The sequence below is a fragment of the Homo sapiens genome, chromosome 16 (genome assembly GCF_000001405.40).
Source record: "Homo sapiens chromosome 16, GRCh38.p14 Primary Assembly".
In the NCBI taxonomy this organism is placed as follows: Eukaryota; Metazoa; Chordata; class Mammalia; order Primates; family Hominidae; genus Homo; species Homo sapiens.
Window position 1 is genome coordinate 315,103 of NC_000016.10, and position 18,536 is coordinate 333,638.

Genomic DNA, 18,536 nt, shown 5'->3' on the forward strand with positions numbered 1-18,536 from the left:
GCCCAAGTCCAAGCATGGCCACGGGACTGATGTCAGGGCCGGTATGTGACAGTGTGTGTGGGTGGTGCCACCTCCTGTCCCCCTACCTAGAGCAGAGGTTCCTCCCCAGCTCCTGGGACGATTCACCTCCTCTTGTTACTGCAAAATTAGCCAGGAAATGACACCTTTTTTCAATCTGCACTTCCCTGATTAATGGTCAGATTGGCAGTTTAGCGTATTTGTCATTTAAACTTCTTCCTCTTTATCTGTTCATATGGTTTACCATTTTCTATGGGGTGGATTATGAGTTTCTTGGTGATTTACAGAAGTCTTCAAATAGACTTGTTATTAATCTCTGGTTATATACGCAAAAAACATTTTCTCCCTAAATGTCATTTTTCTTTTTAACATTGCTCAGGTTGATTTTGGTCAAACAAAATTTTTCATTTCTATGAAATCAGACAGGCCGGGTGCGGTGGCTCATGCCTTTAATCCCAGCACTTTGGGTGGCCGAGGCAGGCAGATCACGAGGTCAGGAGATCGAGACCATCCTGGCTAACACAGTGAAACCCCGTCTCTACTAAAAATACAAAAAATTAGCTGGGCGTGGTGGCGGGCGCCTGTAGTCCCAGACTACTTCGGAGGCTGAGGCGGGAGAATAGCGTGAACCTGGGAGGCGGAGCTTGCAGTAAGCTGAGATCACGCCACTGCACTCCAGCCTGGGTGACAGAGCAAGACTCTGTCTCAAAAGAAAAAAAAAAAAAAAAAAAAGAACAGCCTGACCAACATGGTGAAACCCCATCTCTAGTAAAAATACAAAAATTAGCTAGGTGTGGTGGCACGCACCTGTAATCCCAGCTACTTGGGAGGCTGAGGCAAGAGAATCGCTTGAACCCGGGAGGCAGAGATTGCAGTAAGCTGAGATCGCAGCACTGCACTCCAGCCTGGGCGACAGAGTAAGACTCTGTCTCAAAAATAAAATAAATAAATCAATCAGATATTCCAATCTTTTCCTTTATTTATTTATTTATTTTCTATTTTGGAAACACAGTCCTTCCTTATTCCAGAATTACACATATATTCTATTTTTCTTTATATGCTCCAGTTTTTTTTAGACCTTCACCTGAAATGTGTGTATACAAAATCTAGGCCAGTCCAGCAGAGCCTAAAGGTAAAAAATAAAATAATAAAAAATAAATAAAATCTAGCTCACTCCTTCACATCAAAATGGAGATACAGCTGTTAGCATTAAATACCAAATAACCCATCTTGTCCTCAATAATTTTAAGCGCCTCTCTCCACCACATCTAACTCCTGTCAAAGGCATGTGCCCCTTCCGGGCGCTCTGCTGTGCTGCCAACCAACTGGCATGTGGACTCTGCAGGGTCCCTAACTGCCAAGCCCCACAGTGTGCCCTGAGGCTGCCCCTTCCTTCTAGCGGCTGCCCCCACTCGGCTTTGCTTTCCCTAGTTTCAGTTACTTGCGTTCAGCCAAGGTCTGAAACTAGGTGCGCACAGAGCGGTAAGACTGCGAGAGAAAGAGACCAGCTTTACAGGGGGTTTATCACAGTGCACCCTGACAGTCGTCAGCCTCACAGGGGGTTTATCACATTGCACCCTGACAGTCGTCAGCCTCACAGGGGGTTTATCACAGTGCACCCTTACAATCATTCCATTTGATTCACAATTTTTTTAGTCTCTACTGTGCCTAACTTGTAAGTTAAATTTGATCAGAGGTGTGTTCCCAGAGGGGAAAACAGTATATACAGGGTTCAGTACTATCGCATTTCAGGCCTCCACCTGGGTCTTGGAATGTGTCCCCCGAGGGGTGATGACTACCTCAGTTGGATCTCCACAGGTCACAGTGACACAAGATAACCAAGACACCTCCCAAGGCTACCACAATGGGCCGCCCTCCACGTGCACATGGCCGGAGGAACTGCCATGTCGGAGGTGCAAGCACACCTGCGCATCAGAGTCCTTGGTGTGGAGGGAGGGACCAGCGCAGCTTCCAGCCATCCACCTGATGAACAGAACCTAGGGAAAGCCCCAGTTCTACTTACACCAGGAAAGGCCCTTTGACAAGATGGGAGGGGGGCAGGCAGCCCAGCACCTTGGACTCTGGTGACATGGGATGCCTGGGGAGATGAGCGAGCACTGCGAGCTGGGGACAGCCTGTGGCGGTGCTGGGCAGGGCCTCGCTGCACGGGGCCATTTCCCCTGGGGCTGTGGCCTCCATGCCCTCTGGAGGGTATCGCATGGGGCCAGAACACACAAGCAGGGCCTTTCATACGAACAGTGCTGGTGACCGTGCTCAGCTGCTCGGGAGGCAGGTGCAGGACCCCATGCCACAATGGAAAACACGGTTCACGATGTCAGGCCCCTGCCAGGGCCGATGTCCACGAGTCCCTCTGACCCACCCACTGTGGCCTGGTCGCTCACTGCAGGCCACAGACAGTCACGGCCAGGTGACGGCAGCCTCAGGCTGACAGCAACCATGGGGCCGCTCTTGGGAAATGGGTTCTCTGGAAACACCGACCACCGGTGGCTGGGCTTTGTAAGTTTGGTTCACTCCTCGTCTCCTCTCTGTACCTGACATAGAGCAGATAAAATGATACCAGCCTGCAGCTTCAGGCTCTTTGCTTTAAGCATCATGCAGTATTTATAAATGACACCATTATTCCTTTGATACTTAAAGCCACAGCTGCTCAGCAGCTACTGATATTATCACTGTAACAACCACTGCAGCCAACCTCAGATCTCAGGTTAAGTACTAAAGTCTCCCTATTACTATGAAGGAACACTGAACTTTGGTAACTTTCTATAAACATCTATTTGGCCAAATAAAAACATTTCAAATGGAAGAGAGAAGGCCACTGCCGCACAGAAGTTTAAGAAGTCTACGTCCACGGCACACGGGTGCATCTGTAGCCCACGGCACTTGGTGCGTCTGTAGCCCACAGCACACGGCGCGTCTGTAGCCCACGGCACATGGCGTGTCTGTCTTGGCACGCACTGGAAGCACGTGCCCTGCCCTCATGCTGCCATGGGGCTCACACCTGTCCCGTCACTTGGGAGCCACATACAGCAGAACGAAGCCTTCTGTGTTCATGTGTCCAATTCCAAATCCTTCTCCCACTCTGACTTCCCAGGTGTGCCTTTCACATTTTTGGAAAACCTGTTTGTCTTTAAAATGAGAAGCAGGAGAAACGCAGGTTTCCCATTTTCCACAAGCTCCAGCACACAGCAAGTTCCACTGCACACAAGCACCAAGGTCAGGCAGCAAAGGGGAGAGAAGCGGGAGAAGGCGGCTGGGAGAAAAGAAAAGGAAGAAGGGCAGCCTGTTTACTATTGATCTTCGTAACAATCCCAGACAACTGCCCTGGCTCTCAGGATCTGCCCTCAGCACTCAGATGGCTCCTGTACCTGAAGACACAGGCGGCCGGGCTTGGCCTTCACTACCAGCAGATGCGACCAAGAACGTTCTGGTCAAAGACACGTCCAAGGGGAGGTCACATGGGAGTTCCAGGATCCCCCCATATAGCTGGGATCCAGTGGCGGGAGGGGCATGTGCTCGCGTGCCTGCCTGTGCGTGCGCCTATGGATGCGTGCTTTGTGTGTGCATGCCCACGTATCCATCTGTGTGCGCGCCCGCATGCCCATGTGTGCACCTGTATGCCCGCCCTTCACGAGCACCTCCACCTACACCTGCACTTCTCAGACAGTGGAGATGCTGACCCCTGGCTGTGTGCGGTGAGAATGCGGCTGGGGCCTTGGTGAGAGCGGCTCTGACCCCTGGCTGTGCAGAGAGAATGCAGCCGGGGCCTTGGTGAGAGTGGCTCTGACCCCTGGCTGTGTGTGGAGAGAATGCGGCCGGGGCCTTGGTGAGAGCGGCTCTGGCTGTGCGGAGAGAATGCGGCCGGAGACTTGGTGAGAGCTGTGCCCAGCCCCCCACGCTGATGACCTCAAACAGGAAAACGTGCACAGCTCTTCTGGAACAGGTGCCAGGACTCAGGCAGAGTCCGGGGACACAGAGGCTGGGAGACCCTGTAGAGCCAGGTAGTGACAGACTCCTCGCAACTCTTCTGTGTGTTCAAAGGCTTTCTTTAGGGTCCGGTGTGGTGGCGCACACCTAGAATCCCAGCGACTTGGGAGGGTAAGGCAGGAGACTCGCTGGAGCCCGGGAGTCTGCAGTAAGATATGATCACGCCACTGTGTTCCAGCCTGTGCTCCAGACTCTGTCTCAAAAACAAAAATGTCGTGGAGAGGAGGCATGAGAAGACACGGTGACTTAGGGAAAAACGTGCCCATCACAGAAGGGAAAGTCCAGTGGAGCGGTGAGGAGGCGCTGATGGCAGAATCAATGCCCAGGAGCTGTGTCATAAACAAACACCTGTGGGGTTTGACAGCTACAAGGACCCTATTAGCTTCAAGGCAACAGGAAATGAGAAGCCATGAGGCGGCCAGTGCACTCTAGGCTGGCCTAGGAGGCCCAAATGTCAGGGCCACACAGAAGGTCTCCCCTGCCCAGGTGTTCATGGATGGTGGAGAAAGGTGCTCCTCCTGCCCCAGGAAGGCACCTCTCTGGGACTCCCGCGGCTGCTCCCACATCCAGCATGGCCACGGCACCGGCTCTCTGGTCACTGTGGTACTTTCATCTTCCGTCTTTTCACATTTAACCATTCTATATTCTTCTACTTGTGTAAGCAGCCTGCCTTTTAAAAAGGTAGCATAACAATTTTTCCTTTTAATGAGGCTGTCTGGTCCGGTTACATTTAGTGTGATGTGGAGGGAGCTGGGCCACCGTCGGATCGGGTTGGTTTATCACATCTGCTCTACTTCCTTTTGCTCTTTCTTGCCTTCTTTGGGGTATTTTTTGCTTTCCATTTCCTCCCTCTGAAAAAGTAAATGTTGTACAGTTCTTTCATTGGTTCCTGTGCCTGGACATGTCTCAATCCCACACATCACACCTGCCTCTTCCCAGGCCGCATGAGAACCTCAGAACCGACAGCCCCCCACACACTCACAAGCAACGCATTTCCTGCACTGACATTTTCTTTTTTATTCCCTGGACTCCCACCTTAGCTTCCCAGGTAGGTGGGACAACAGGCGCACACTACCACTCCTGGCTACTTTTTCATTTTTTATATAGATGAGGTCTCACTATGTCACCCAGGCTGGTCTTGAACTCTTGGGCTCAAGTCATCTGCCCACCTCGGTGTCCGAATGTGCTGGGATTACAGGCATGAGCCATCATGCCTGGCCACAAATCAGATCATTTTAATTACTGAACTGCAAAGGGGTAAATGCTTTAAAAGGATTCCAGCAAGGTAAGATGACAACACCAATAATGCAACATAGGGGCGGATAAAATCTAAACAGAAAAGTTACACAAAATTATGATGCTTCGCTGTGATGGTTTCATGGAGAAATTTAGAAACAGGTCAAGCTTCACAGCATCCCTCCACATCCCTTAACACACACGTGCAAATTTGAGAGAGTTCCAGCTTTCCTCATCAATTACCTTTAAAATTACTAAGTACACTCAAGAATATAAAAATTAAAAACAAATATATATGTATATATGTAAATGTATATATGTGTGTATATATGTATATATGCATACGTATATGCGTGTGTGTGTATATATATATATATATATATTTTTTTTTTTTTTGAGACGGAGCCTCGCTCTTTCGCCCAGACTGGAGTGCAGTGGCGCGATCTCGGCTCACTACAACCTCCGCCTCCTGGGTTCAATCGATTCTCCTGCCTCAGCCTCCCGAGTAGCTGGGACTCCAGGCACACGTCACCACGCCCGGCTAATTTTTGTATTTTTAGTAGAGACAAGGTTTCGCCGTGTTGGTCAGGCTGGTCTCGAACGCCTGACCTTGTGATCTGCCCGCCTCGGCCTCCCAAAGTGCTGGGATTACAGGCTTAAGCCACTGCGCCTGCCCACAAAAAATGTTTCATGCCAAAAGACCACCTGGTGTGACGGATGCCACCCAGAACATGGGAAGAGGAGGCTGGAGGTAGATCTGGCCCTGGGAATCACCCGAAACCACTGCTACAGGCCCTCCTGCCTCCTGCTACCCACGCTCTGGGATGCTCTGGGCCCGCTGCTCTCTGTGCCTTCCATACCCAGGCAGGAGCCGCCACCCTCCCTGGTAGTAAGGCACCACATTTCCATACCCAGGCAGGAGCCGCCACCCTCCCTGGTAGTAAGGCACCACATGGCACCTGCTGGTGACAACCACTATGGGGAAACAGCAAACAGCAGCCCCAGGAGAGCTCTGCATAGCACGTGCCCCACCCCGCCAAGACTTCTGTGTTGTTAAAAGTAAGTTCTGATGGTTTTGCTTAAGCAGCACAGGTCAGTACACCACGTAAAATAATTATAGCCATTTTGAAAGGCAAATCGCCTTTTTCTCCAACCACAGAGCTCCTCAACTCACGACAAGGCTGTGTCCTGATAAACCTCTCATAGCTGGGAATACGAGGTAGAAGGTGGATTCCAACCCACGAAGGGTTAAACCCTCTCACAGCTGGGAATATGAGGTAGGTGGATTCCAACCCACGAAGGGTTAAACCCTCTCATAGCTGGGAATATGAGGTAGAAGGCGGATGCCAACCCACGAAGGGTTAAACCCTCTCATAGCTGGGAATATGAGGTAGAAGGTGGATTCCAACCCACGAAGGGTTAAACCCTCTCATAGCTGGGAATATGAGGTGGAAAGTGGATTCCAACCTCAAAGTGTTATCCAGACACAGCCTTGCCCTTCGTTGACGGGCACCCTGAATGCTTCAGGCTGGTTGTAAAGTTGAAAAGGCCTAAGTGGAGCCATCCTAAGTTAGAGACCAGCTGTATTCTGAAAGACAGAGGCTGGAATTAGTAAAATGGCTGGAAACACACATCTGTGAGCCCTGGATGATAAGCCAGGAATGAGCCAATGAAAGCCCAATTCCAAGTGAGCTGGACATGAAGACGGAGGTGGCCGCACAGACCCAAAGATGCACGACCTTCTGAGAAGCACAGAGAGCCCCGTCTTGTGGCCAGGGAAACCCAGGCAGCGCATGCCGCAGGCGTGAGGCTGGGTGCTTCTCCCAGGCCTGGCTCAGGGCAGGGTGGCTGCAAACAGTGGTGCACACCCCAGGCTCCAGGAGGAGGTGACCGAGGGGCAGCTGGGGAACATGGCGCACACCCCAGGCTCCAGGGATGGCCCTGCTGGTAGTGCGGTCTAACGGGAGGCAATAACTCATGACTGAGTATGTCTCCCCTCAACCCATCACCCTGTACCTGCCCGCAGTGGAGTGTGCACCTGTGCTCAGGTATGGGGACAGATGTGCTCCTACGGCTGTGTTTCCTCTGCACAGGTGTGGGAGGCCTGTGCAGGAGCTGAGTTAGCATGGCAGGTGCTGGTGCTGACCTGTGCCTCACCTGGGCACAGAGGCAGAATCCCCTGGGCTGCACATCCTCCTCTCCAAAGCAAGTGGGACCTGGCTGTCCGCGAGGCAAAGAGTCCATGCAGACTCGGGTGTGCGTCTGCCCCTCAATACCCCATCCATGTGTCTCCAGCCACCTGAGTCCCACAGAGCCACTGAGGATGGTGGGTGAATCCTACACACAGAATCGCTGGCTCCCGGGGACCCTCTTCATTTTCTGGAGCTGTGGGCGGTGGACGGATGAGTGCATCCTTTAGAGCCCAGACACTGGCAGACACAAAAGCCTGGCAAGAAGCAACACAGGCAGAAAAGGCCTCTGAGGATGGCGGGCAGTGGCCTGGGGGAAGAGGTGAGCCATGGCCTGCAGCTGCGTCCCAGCTCTGGTCTGCAGTCATGTCCAGGGAAGGGGCTCTGGCACCAGATGGCAGGGAGCGGTCACCTGGCAGAGGCCATGGATGCCAATGCCACTTGCTTCCCAAAACTGAGAGCCAAGCGTGGCTCAGGCCTGAAATCCCAGCACTTGGGAGACTGAGGTAGGAGAGCTGCTTAAGCCCAGGAGTTCGAGACCAGCCTAGGCAAGAGGTCAAGACCCTGTCTTGAAAGAAAGAAAGAAAAAAGAAAAGAAAAGGAAAGAGGCCGGGCGCGGTGGCTCATGCCTGTAATCCCAGCACTTTGGGAGGCCAACGCAGGCATATCACGAGGTCAGGAGATCGAGACCCTCCTGGCTAACACGGTGAAACCCCGTCTCTACTAAAAATACAAAAAATTAGCCGGGTGCGGTGGCGGGCACCTGTAGTCCCAGCTACTCGGGAGGCTGAGGCAGGAGAATGGCGTGAACCCAGGAGGCAGAGCTTGCAGTGAGCCGAGATCGCGCCACTGCACTCCAGCCTGGGCGACAGAGCGAGACTCCGTCTCAAAAAAAAAAAAAAAGAAAGAAAAAAAGCCAAAATAAGATTAAAAAAAACAAAACAAAACAGGCGGGGCACGGTGGCTCAAAACTGTAATCCCAGCACTTTGGGAGGCCGAGGCGGGTGGATCACAAGGTCAAGAGATCAAGACCATCCTGGCTAACACAGTGAAACCCTGTCTCTACCAAAAATACAAAAAATTAGCCAAGCGTGGTGGCAGGTGCCTGTAGTCCCAGCTACTCGGGAGTCTGAGGCAGGAGAATTATGTGAACCCGGGAGGCGGAGCTTGCAGTGAGATGAGATCACACCACTGACTCCAGCCTGGGCAACAGAGTGAGACTCCACCACACACACACACACACACACACACACCAACAAAACAAAACACTGAGGGGTGTGACTTGGGTTCTCACCTGCGTCTCTCTAGGAGCATAAGCACAGGTCTTCACCACTGTGGGTGCAAAGGGAAAAGGTGTCAACTGCGACAGGGGATGGAATACGGCACAGAATGAGCAACCCACCCTGGAGACACCAGCCTGTGGGAGCCCCAAAGCCCACAGGAGAGCCCCATAGTCCATGGGGAGACCTGTCCATGGGAAGCCCCGTAGCCCACAGGAAACCCTGCAGACCATGGGGAGCCCAGTGCAGGAGAGCCCTGCAGCCCACAAGAGTCACATCTGAAATACCCGGGACCGTCCGCACTGACCAGCAGCCTCCATGAGGGGCAGATCTGGGGCCAAGTGTCAGTGAGCCGCCTTACGGGTCTTTACGGGTCTTCCGGGCCACATTACGGGTCGGCACTGGGCACGAGGCCACCTGCTCAAGGACGCCGATGCCATGGCATGGGGGCTACATTTGCTCTACAGGTCTCCTGCCGGATCCTTTCTGAGCCCTCCTGGGAGGAGGCTGGGGGCCGGAATGCGGGTGCATAGAAACGGCTGGAAGCAGCGCAGGGCAGAAGCGATATGGAAAGGCGGGTCAGGCACAGGCCTCACAGGCCCGCGGTCCTCCGGGGAGGTTTGCAAGGATCACATGGCCAAGGGCACCATGAGCAGCTTCCCAACCAACCCGCCCAGTGTCCCGCAGAGTTTGTGGAGATAAACAGAAGCTTGACAAACACAACTGAGCAGAAAACGCCCGCAGGTGGTCAGTAGGCGCTTCCAGTGTTATCACAAGACCACACGCCGCACGTCAGCACATGACACAGACACACTTACTTGATCCCTGTTTTGACAAGCTAAGTCGTACTTTATACCAGGAGGAGGAGGGGCACCCCAGGTGAGCGGTCCAATCCTCAGACACGGCCAGTGCCATCAGCGACCTGCATCCCGACCCCCCGGAACAGCACAGCCAGCAGACAGAACCCGCCCTGCAGAGGCAGCTTCCGGCAGCCGCAGGCCCTTCCCAGGCCCAGCCCCCGAGTCCCGCGCAGGGAAAGGCTCTGCCCAAGCCTTCAGGGAGGCAGCAGCGCCCGGTGCACAGTTCCTAAGGGCGCAGAACTCCGGGATGAACAAAGGCAAGGAAACGGCTGTGTAAAAATCAGCTCTACTGACGCACGGCTGGGTGCTCAGCGGACCCGCACAGAACCACAGTCCTACCTGGCACGTTCTGACGCGCACCAGATCACAGCCTCAGCCCCGCGGGCGCGCCCCAGGAAACCATGGCCTCAGCCCCGCGGGCGGCCCCGCACCCCAGGAAACCATCGCCTCAGCCCCGCGGGCGGCCCCGCACCCCAGGAAACCATCGCCTCAGCCCACATATTCAACCCGGAAGCCTGGGGAGGCTTCCCTTGGGGAAATCCACCTGTCGCTCGAGGTCAGTCGGCCTTTTCTAGAATTCTGTATAAACGCAGTCTCATGGGGAGCTAGTGCCCCCCGCTGCTCCGGCGCCCCCTCCGCTCTGGCTTTCTTCACTGGCACAGGATCCTGAGATGCACCCCTGCCTCCATGGTTATCAGCGACTCATCCCTTTTATGCCGTGGCATGCCAGGATGCACCACGGTGTTTTTCTCCAACTGCTTGGCAGTGCCACTGGAGTTGGGGCAGCGCTTCCCAGCGGGCAGAGTTGACCCCGAGGCCAACAGCCAGGCCACAGCCAGCGCCCTCCCCACGTCTCGCCTCCCCCAGTCCAGACACAAACCTGGTCAAGGGCGCCCAGACCAGGGCTCAACCCACTGCCCGCAGGGGCCGACTGCCAAGGAGCGGTCACCGCCCCAGAGTGATGGCTGCCACAGCGTCGTGTGTACAACTTATGGTCTGTCCCACGTGGCTGCAGGCTCCAGCCCTGAGAAGAAGAGAGGAGAGCCATTCCCCAACACGGCACCTTGCTCTGTGTTAGCTCCATCTTCTCTCATGACGGGGCCTTCGGAAACACCAAGAAACGACCAAAGCAGACAGGCACTGGGAGAAGCAGGACAAGCATTTCCTCACCTCACATGAACTTCCATATGAATGTGACAAAGGCACAGCACACAAAATGCAGATGCTGACCACAGAGAGGGCCCCACTCACTCACGCTGGCCACGAAAAGGCCCGCCCTGGTTCACACCGGCATGGAGAGGTCTCGCTTCTGTTTTAGCAATACTGACAACTGGCCCCCATTCATGCAGATGCTGTCACTTATATACTATATATATAACAAGGGCCAGGCGTGGTGGCTCATGCCTGTAATCCCAGCACTTTGGGAGACTGAGGTGGGCGGATCATGAGGTCAGGAGTTCAAGACCAGCCTGGCTAAAATGGTGAAACCCCATCTCTACTAAAAATACAAAAAATTAGCTGGGCATGGCGACAGGCGCCCATAATCCCAGCTACTCGGGAGGCTGAGTCAGGAGAATCTCTTGAACTGGGGAGGCAGAGGTTGCAGTGAGCCACAATCACACCACTGCACTCCAGCCTGGGCAACAAGAGCAAAACTCCGTCTCAAAAAAAAAAAAAAAAAAATATATATATATATATATATATACACACCTATAGATAAATAACCTACCTTTGCACCCAAAGGTCACAAAGTTTATACTAAAAAATGTGATTGAGAGCCGGACACGGTGGTTCACACCTGTAATCCCAGCACCATGGGAGGCCAAGGCGGGCGGATCATGAGATCAAGAGATTGAGACCATCCTTGCCAACATGGTGAAACCCCATCTCTACTAAAAATACAAAAAATTAGCTGGGCGTGGTGGCACGCCTGTAGTCCCAGCTACTCGGGAGGCTGAAGCAGGAGAATCACTTGAACCTGGGAGGCGGAGGTTGCAGTGAGCGAGATCGCGCCACTGCACTCCAGCCTGGTGACAGAGTGGGATCAAAAAAAAAAAAAAAGTGATCAAAATCAGGCCACCGTCAGCTATGAAAATCTCTATTTTACTTCCTCCATAAAATCAGGGATGTGGCCTCTGCCTGAAGCGTCAGCCAAGATTGCCAGCACTGGCCGGGTGTGGTGGCTCACACCTGTAATCCCAACAGTTTGGGAGGCCGAGGCGGGGGGATCACGAGGTCAGGAGATGGAGACCATCCTGGCTAACACGGTGAAACCCCATCTCTACTAAAAATATAAAAAAAATTAGCCGGGTGCGGTGGCGGGTGCCTGTAGTCCCAGCTACTCGGGAGCCTGAGGCAGAAGACTGGCATGAACCTGGGAGGTGGAGCTTGCAGTGAGCCGAGATCGCACCATTGCACTCCAACCTGGGCGACAGAGCGAGGCTCCGTCTCAAAAAAAAAAAGATTGCCAGCACCCCCATCAGGTCCCAGAATACTCCACCTACGTATCTCGTGGGTGTTCTGCATGGCGGCAGACACTTGGTGTCACCCTCAGGGGCAGGAACAGGTGATGGGCTGACCAGACAGCATTGAATGACCATGGGGCAGGGCACTCTCACCCCTTCTGCTCACACTGAATGAGCAGGTGATTTCTCGGTCACTCAGGGTGGCAGACACAAAAGGGCAAGAGAATGAGTCACCAGGCACCAGGCAGGAGCTTCCGGCTCAGCCCTGCGGCCTGTGCCTAGGAGGCCTCGCTGTGGTTCCACGCTGCGGCCAGCCTTTTCTTTGTTTTATAACACCGCTGGTGCCCCCACCCACTCACTGTGAACCGCACAACACACCAAAGGCCCTTTATGATCAAAATCAAACAGTGACGATAGGGAGGGTGTGTGTTTCTGCAGACTGTCCACAGGCGCAGCACAGGCGGGGCAGCCCTGGCAGCCACCCACACCTGCCATCCCGGGAGTCCAACAGCTCAAACTGTGGCCAAATGCCCCTCACCAGCACTTACTGGCTACTGACCACAGGCAGTCTGCCAATTCCTAGCTTACAAAGCGGAAATGACAGTGGCCACTTCTTTATAAAGTTTCTGAGCATTTCAGCAAACAGTGCTTGGGTGAGGCCAGGCACATGATGCAGAAAGCCCTCACTACAGCCTAGCAACCAAAGTGTCCTGCACATTAGTTAGGGGACTGGGTGGGAAAGGCTGCAGGTCACAGTTAAACCCACAATTCCAACTAACTGTCTGTGAGACTCTAAACAAATGCTTCACCAGGCTGGGGACAGTGGCTCAAGCCTGTAATCCGAGCACTGTAGGAGGCTGAGGCAGAATGCCTTAAAGCCAAGAGTTCAAGACCCACCTGAGTGAAAAGGCCAGACCTTGTCTCTACAAAAAAATGTTGCAAAAATTAGCCAAGGGCTGGGCGGGGTAGCTCACACCTGTAATCCCAGCATTTTGGGAGGCTGAGGTAGATGGATCACTTGAGTCCTGGAGTTCAAGACCAGCCTGGACAACAAGGTGAGACCTCGTCTCTGCAAAATATTTAAAAAATTAGCCAGGTGTGGTGGCATGCACCTGTGGTCCCAGCTACTCAGGAGGCTGAGGCAGGAGGATCGCCTGAGCCCAGGAGGCTGAGGCTGCAGTGAGCCATGATCATGCCACTGCATTTCAGCCTGAGTAACACAGCAAGACTCTGTCACTAAAAAAAATAATAATAATACAGCCAGGTGCAGTGGCTCACGCCTGTAATCCCAATACTTTGGGAGGCCGCGGCGGGCGGATCACCTGAGGTTGGGAGTTCGCAACCAGCCTGACCAACATGGAGAAACCCCATCTCTACTAAAAAAAAAAAAATTAGCCAGGCGTGGTGGCACATGTCTGTAATCCCAGCTACTCGGGAGGCTGAAGCGGGAGAATCACCTGAACCCAGGAGGCAGAGGTTGCAGTGAGCCGAGACCACACCATTGCTCTCCAGCCTGGGCAACAAGAGCGAAACTCCATGTCAAAAAAAATAATAATAAATTAAATACTTAACAAGAACAGCATATTCACAGGAACCCAAACACTCATGATTTTGAAAGGCACATGGCAACGGGTGCTACAGACAGGAGAGATGGCAGGCAGGGAGAGTGTGGCCGGGCACCCTGTCCTCTCTGCACAGTCCCCCACAGACTGAAGCTGCTGCTCCGCTTTCCAGGAGAGATGGCGGGCAGGGAGGGTCTGCCAGGCACCCTGTCCTCTCTGCACAACCCCTGGGTGCTGCCACGCTGCTCACACCAGTAACTATTTAAAATGATAGTGGGCTGGGCACGGTAGCTCACGCCTGTAATCCCAGCACTTTGGAAGGCCAAGGCAGGAGGGAGGATCACGACGTCAGGAGTTCGAGACCAGCCTGACCGACATGGTGAAACCCTGTCTCTACTAAAAATATAGAAATTAGCCAGGCGTGGTGGTGTGCACCTGTAATCCCATCTACTCAAGAGCTGAGGCAGGAGAATCGCTTGAACCCAGGAGGCAGAGGTTGCAGTGAGCTGACATCGCGCCACTGCACTCCAGCCTGGGCGACAGAGCGAGACTGTCAAAAAAAAAAAAAAAAAAAAAAAGATACTGAAAAACATACAGAGTGGGTAACATGAATTAGGATCCCATTTTTGATGAAAAAAATGTGCTAAGAAAAATCTAGAGCGATCTAGATAGAATAGTAGTATCTCTGAGCAGTGGGATATCAGACCATTTCTTTGTTCTGTGTTTTCTTTCTTTTCTTTTTTTTGGATATGGCATCTTTCTCTGTTGCCCAGGCTGGAGTGCAATGGCGTGATCTTGGCTCAATGCATCCTCCGCCTCCCGGGCTCAAGCAATTCTCCTGCCTCAGCCTCCCGAGTAGATGGGATTACAGGCGCACAACACCATGCCCGGCTAATTTTTGTTTTTTTTTGTTTTTGAGACGGAGTCTCGCTATGTCGCCCAGGCTAGAGTGCTGGAGTGCAGTGGCGCAGTCTTGGCTCACTGCAAGCTCCGCCTCCCAGGTTCACGCCATTCTCCTGCTTCAGCCTCCCGAGTAGCTGGGACTACAGGTGCCAGCCACCTTGCCCGGCTATTTTTTTTTTTTTTTTGTATTTTTTAGTAGACACGGGGTTTCACTGTATTAGCCAGGATGGTCTCAATCTCCTGATCTTGTGATCCACCCGCCTCAGCCTCCCAGAGTGCTGGGATAACAGGCGTGAGCCACCGCGCCTGGCCAATTTTTGTATTTTTAGTAGAGACGGGGTTTCACCATGTTGGTCAGGCTGGTCTCAAACTCCTGACCTCGTGATCCTCCCGCCTCGACCTTCCAAAGTACTGGGATTACAGGCATGACCCACTGTGCCCGGCCCTTTTTTTTTTTTGAGAGAGGGTCTCTCTCTGTCAACCAGGCTGGAGAGCAGTGGCACATTCACAGCTCACTGCAGCCTCAACCTCCCGGTCTCAGGTGACCCACCCATCTCAGCCTCCCTAGTGGCTGGAACCACAGGTGCATGCCACCACACTCATCTCAATTTTTCTATTTTTTTCTAGAGATGGGGGTCTCCCTATGTTGCCCAGGTTGGTCTCAAAATCCTGGGCTCAAGCAATCCACCCACCTTGGCCTCCCAAAGTGCTGGGATTACAGATGTGAGCCACTGTGCCCGCTACCAAACGTCTTTCATATAGAACTCTGACAACAATCTGTCTTTGCATTGACTGAAAACTATGCAATAATGTACATGAAGAACACTTTGAAAATTATAATGCACCAAAGAACTCACTAATGAGACTCACTAGTTAGTGCTCAGCACAATCAGTTATGAAACTGACGACCTCTTTCCTCTGCTCAGCGTGAACACCGTGCATTGAATTCAGTTTTGTGCTGCTCACTGCCACATTTCTTCAATGTCACAAAAGTCTCTTCAGAGCCTGGAACTGCACAAATGGCTTCACATCACATTTTTAGGTTCACAAGGATCTGATGAGAAACACTTTATGTAATGAAGAGTGGTAACATTTAAAAAGTAGAACAAAAAAATGTTTTATGCTTTCCTCCCCAGGAGACACTAGCACCCTCACTCCAGCCTTCACCCCTGGAGCAGAAGCCCCCAGGAATTTACTGGTTCCAAAGAACAGCCAATGACCTTTCACAAGCTCAGATTATCTATGCTGCAACAAACATTTGGAAGTGGCAATTCCCAGCAAATTGCAGGCAATTTAGAGTCATTTGCCAAGATGCAATCTGCCCTATTGCTCCAGGGTCTTTACAAAGGCCAGCCAGACTGCAGCCCTTGCAGACTGCAGGGTGGCAAGTCTCACGCCAGCCTCAGAGCCTCCTCAGCAGAAGTCTGAATACATCACTTACCCAGAACCAGGTTGCCGGCTTACAGTCATGGTCCCTGAATCCTGCATAAAACTCACCTGAAGGAGACCAGCTCTCAGTGCTGAAGCTACAAGACGAAAATAACAACTTCTGAAAGCCACGTCTTATTAAAAATTAAAACACTGGACACTTATCAATCTAGTTAAGGTAAAAATTCTGTACATGAAAAAAAAAATTCTGTACATGAAGCACTCTGGTTTGTTCCCTTGAAGTAATTTAGAAACTGCAAGTTCCAAGCTGGGTCTACCCTCTTTATGACATTCTCAGGGATCCTGGAGCCCTTCCCTGGGCTGACAGCTCATGGACGTCCCTAACACTCCAAAGCAGCTGTGTCCAGTTTCCTTGACTCTGAGTGTGCAGCAGGAAGAAGCCTCTGTCTGGAAAGAAACACTCTGAGGCAGAAATAGAAAATCTTTATTTTTATGAGATATTTAATTTTTTTCTGCTTCTTTTAAAAGGAGTTTCACTTTACCCAAATGAAAGAAACGCAACCAACTCATGAGAATCTATCAAACACTCCTATCAGCGTATAGAATGCACAGCAGTAAGCGGACGCATAACAAAGCCAAAACAAAAACTGCCTGGACTGCTTTTATTTGCAAACTTTTTTGTTCACCATGGAAATGCTTTATCTTTGTGGTATCTCCAACATAACTCCACACTGCACCACGAAGCTATAAATTCCAAAGCTAATGGAATTTCCAAGCAAAGGTGCAAGCCTGACACTGCATGAGGGGCCCTCACGCCAGTGCCTCTACTTACGTCACCCTCAGATCTCCACACAGGCGCACCTCGGCCACTAGTCTGACCCCCAGCCTCGCTGAGCCCCTGCTCAAAAGCGCTGTTTCCAGGCCTGTGGGTTCCAGAGACCACGGTGACTAAGGGCCCGACCCTGACTACAGCAGATGGGAAGTTACTTAATCTCCCAGGGCCTCAGTTTCCACATGGATGGCATGACACTCCCACACCTCGTTAGGGGCTCGCGGATGGCCTGACGCCTGACACAGGCAGTGCGAGAGTCCACAGGTCGGCAGCCTTCAGCAGCGACAATGGTCCCTGACAGTCCTCTGTTCACAGCTCCTGCAGATGGTGGTGGACCAGCAACAACTGAGGGCCCCACGGTCCAAGGACAGTTTAGAGAACTCGCAGCAGCAACATCACAATCACAAGTAAAGCATATTTAACTTTTAGAAACAGGATATAAAACCTGCAGCCAGGCTGGGCGCGGTGGCTCACGCCTGTAATCCCAGCACTTTGGGAGGCCAAGGCGGGCGGATCACGAGATCAGGAGATGGAGACCATCCTGGCTAACACAGTGAAACCCCATCTCTACTAAAAATACAAAAAATTAGCTGGGCGTGGTGGCGGGCGCCTGTAGTCCCAGCTCTAGGGAGGCTGAGGCAGGAGAATGGCGTGAACCCGGGAGGTGGAGGTTGCAGTGAGCTGAGACCGTGCCACTGCACTCCAGGCTGGGCGAAAGAGCGAGACTCCTTCTCAAAAAAAAAAAGAAAACAAAAAAAAAATTACACTTAACATCTTAACATCTCCAGAAAGATTTTGATCTAAACAATGTTGATCTAAACCAAAAAAAAAAAAAAAAAGTATAATTTTTTGAGTGTATATTCAGAAAGCAAGGGCAGGAAAAAAATGTATTGAAAAGATATGAAAACACAACAAAAAGAAATGCAAAATATATGAAAGATTTAAAATTTAAAGGATCACTCTAAATGGTCCAAAATCTAAATAAGATCTCAAATAAGTTCTAAAATGAGAAATGGTAAAGATGGAGAGAAGGAATTATCAAAGAAATAACATTTCTGGCCAGATGCAATCAATGGCTCACACCTGCAATTTCAACTCTCTGAGAGGCCAAAGTAGGAGGAGTGCTCAAGGCCTGGAGCTTGAGACCAGCCTGGGCAACACTGGGAGACCTTGTCTCTACAAAAAACTGTAAAAAAATATTAGCGAGGTGGGCCGGGTGCAATTGCTCACGCCTGTAATCCCAGCACTTTGGAGGCCGAGGCAGGCGGATCACCTGAGGTCGGGAGTTTGAGACCAGCCTGACCAACATGGAGAAACCCCATCTCTACTAAAAATACAAAATTAGCTGGGTGTGGTGGCGCATGCCTGTAATCCCAGCTACTCAGGAGGCTGAGGCAGGAGAATTGCTTGAACCCGGGAGGCAGCGGATGCAGTGAGCCGAGATCGCACCACTGCACCCCAGCCCGGGCAACAAGAGCGAAATTCCATCTCGAAAAAAAAAAATTAGTGGGGTGTGCTGGTGCCTATAGTCCCAGCTACTCTGGAGGCTGAGGCAGGAGGATCGCTCAAGCCTTTTTTTCCAGACTCGCCTCAGAAAAAAAAAAAAAAGAAAAGAAACAAATACCATTTAAACTCCAGAATTAAAGGACAAGTTTCTTCAGCACGATGAAAGAAAAAAGCCCCCAGCAAAACACAGTATTATGAAATAACACTGTTGATAAAGAAAACATCCAAAAAATGTCTGGAGGGAAGAAAAAAAGCACCATCCACACCGTATGAAGAGAATGGAGCCAGGTC

General features: G+C 51.8%; 1 protein-coding gene across 13 annotated transcripts in view, besides 4 other annotated features; it reads right to left on the reverse strand.

The window, feature by feature from the left end:
- The window catches only part of AXIN1 (axin 1), a 65,284-nt gene that overhangs the window by 27,663 nt on the left and 19,085 nt on the right, over positions 1 to 18,536 (reverse strand). For 2 of the 13 annotated variants that reach the window (XM_047434731.1, XM_011522686.1), the window contains exon 1: positions 8,743 to 8,777. The exons of 8 other annotated variants lie outside the window; for them this stretch is intronic. In XM_047434731.1, the coding sequence (XP_047290687.1) occupies positions 8,743 to 8,762 (20 nt within the window). In that variant the 5' untranslated portion in view covers positions 8,763 to 8,777. Of the gene's footprint in view, positions 1 to 3,942; positions 4,811 to 8,742; positions 9,842 to 18,536 lie in introns of those variants that run through there. 3 more of the 13 variants (XM_017023745.3, XM_047434732.1, XM_017023746.2) reach the window with 3 other exon arrangements.
- Positions 1,643 to 2,396: an enhancer, noted in NCBI's record as "H3K4me1 hESC enhancer chr16:366745-367498 (GRCh37/hg19 assembly coordinates)". NCBI's record gives its function as "activates a minimal SCP1, AML or CMV promoter by ChIP-STARR-seq in primed H9 embryonic stem cells {active_cell/tissue: H9 hESC(primed)}" and the evidence as "EXISTENCE:reporter gene assay evidence [ECO:0000049][PMID:30033119]".
- Positions 2,397 to 3,148: an enhancer, noted in NCBI's record as "H3K27ac-H3K4me1 hESC enhancer chr16:367499-368250 (GRCh37/hg19 assembly coordinates)". NCBI's record gives its function as "activates a minimal SCP1, AML or CMV promoter by ChIP-STARR-seq in naive H9 embryonic stem cells {active_cell/tissue: H9 hESC(naive)}" and the evidence as "EXISTENCE:reporter gene assay evidence [ECO:0000049][PMID:30033119]".
- Positions 3,149 to 3,902: an enhancer, noted in NCBI's record as "H3K27ac-H3K4me1 hESC enhancer chr16:368251-369004 (GRCh37/hg19 assembly coordinates)". NCBI's record gives its function as "activates a minimal SCP1, AML or CMV promoter by ChIP-STARR-seq in naive H9 embryonic stem cells {active_cell/tissue: H9 hESC(naive)}" and the evidence as "EXISTENCE:reporter gene assay evidence [ECO:0000049][PMID:30033119]".
- Positions 9,847 to 10,454: an enhancer, noted in NCBI's record as "H3K27ac-H3K4me1 hESC enhancer chr16:374949-375556 (GRCh37/hg19 assembly coordinates)". NCBI's record gives its function as "activates a minimal SCP1, AML or CMV promoter by ChIP-STARR-seq in naive H9 embryonic stem cells {active_cell/tissue: H9 hESC(naive)}" and the evidence as "EXISTENCE:reporter gene assay evidence [ECO:0000049][PMID:30033119]".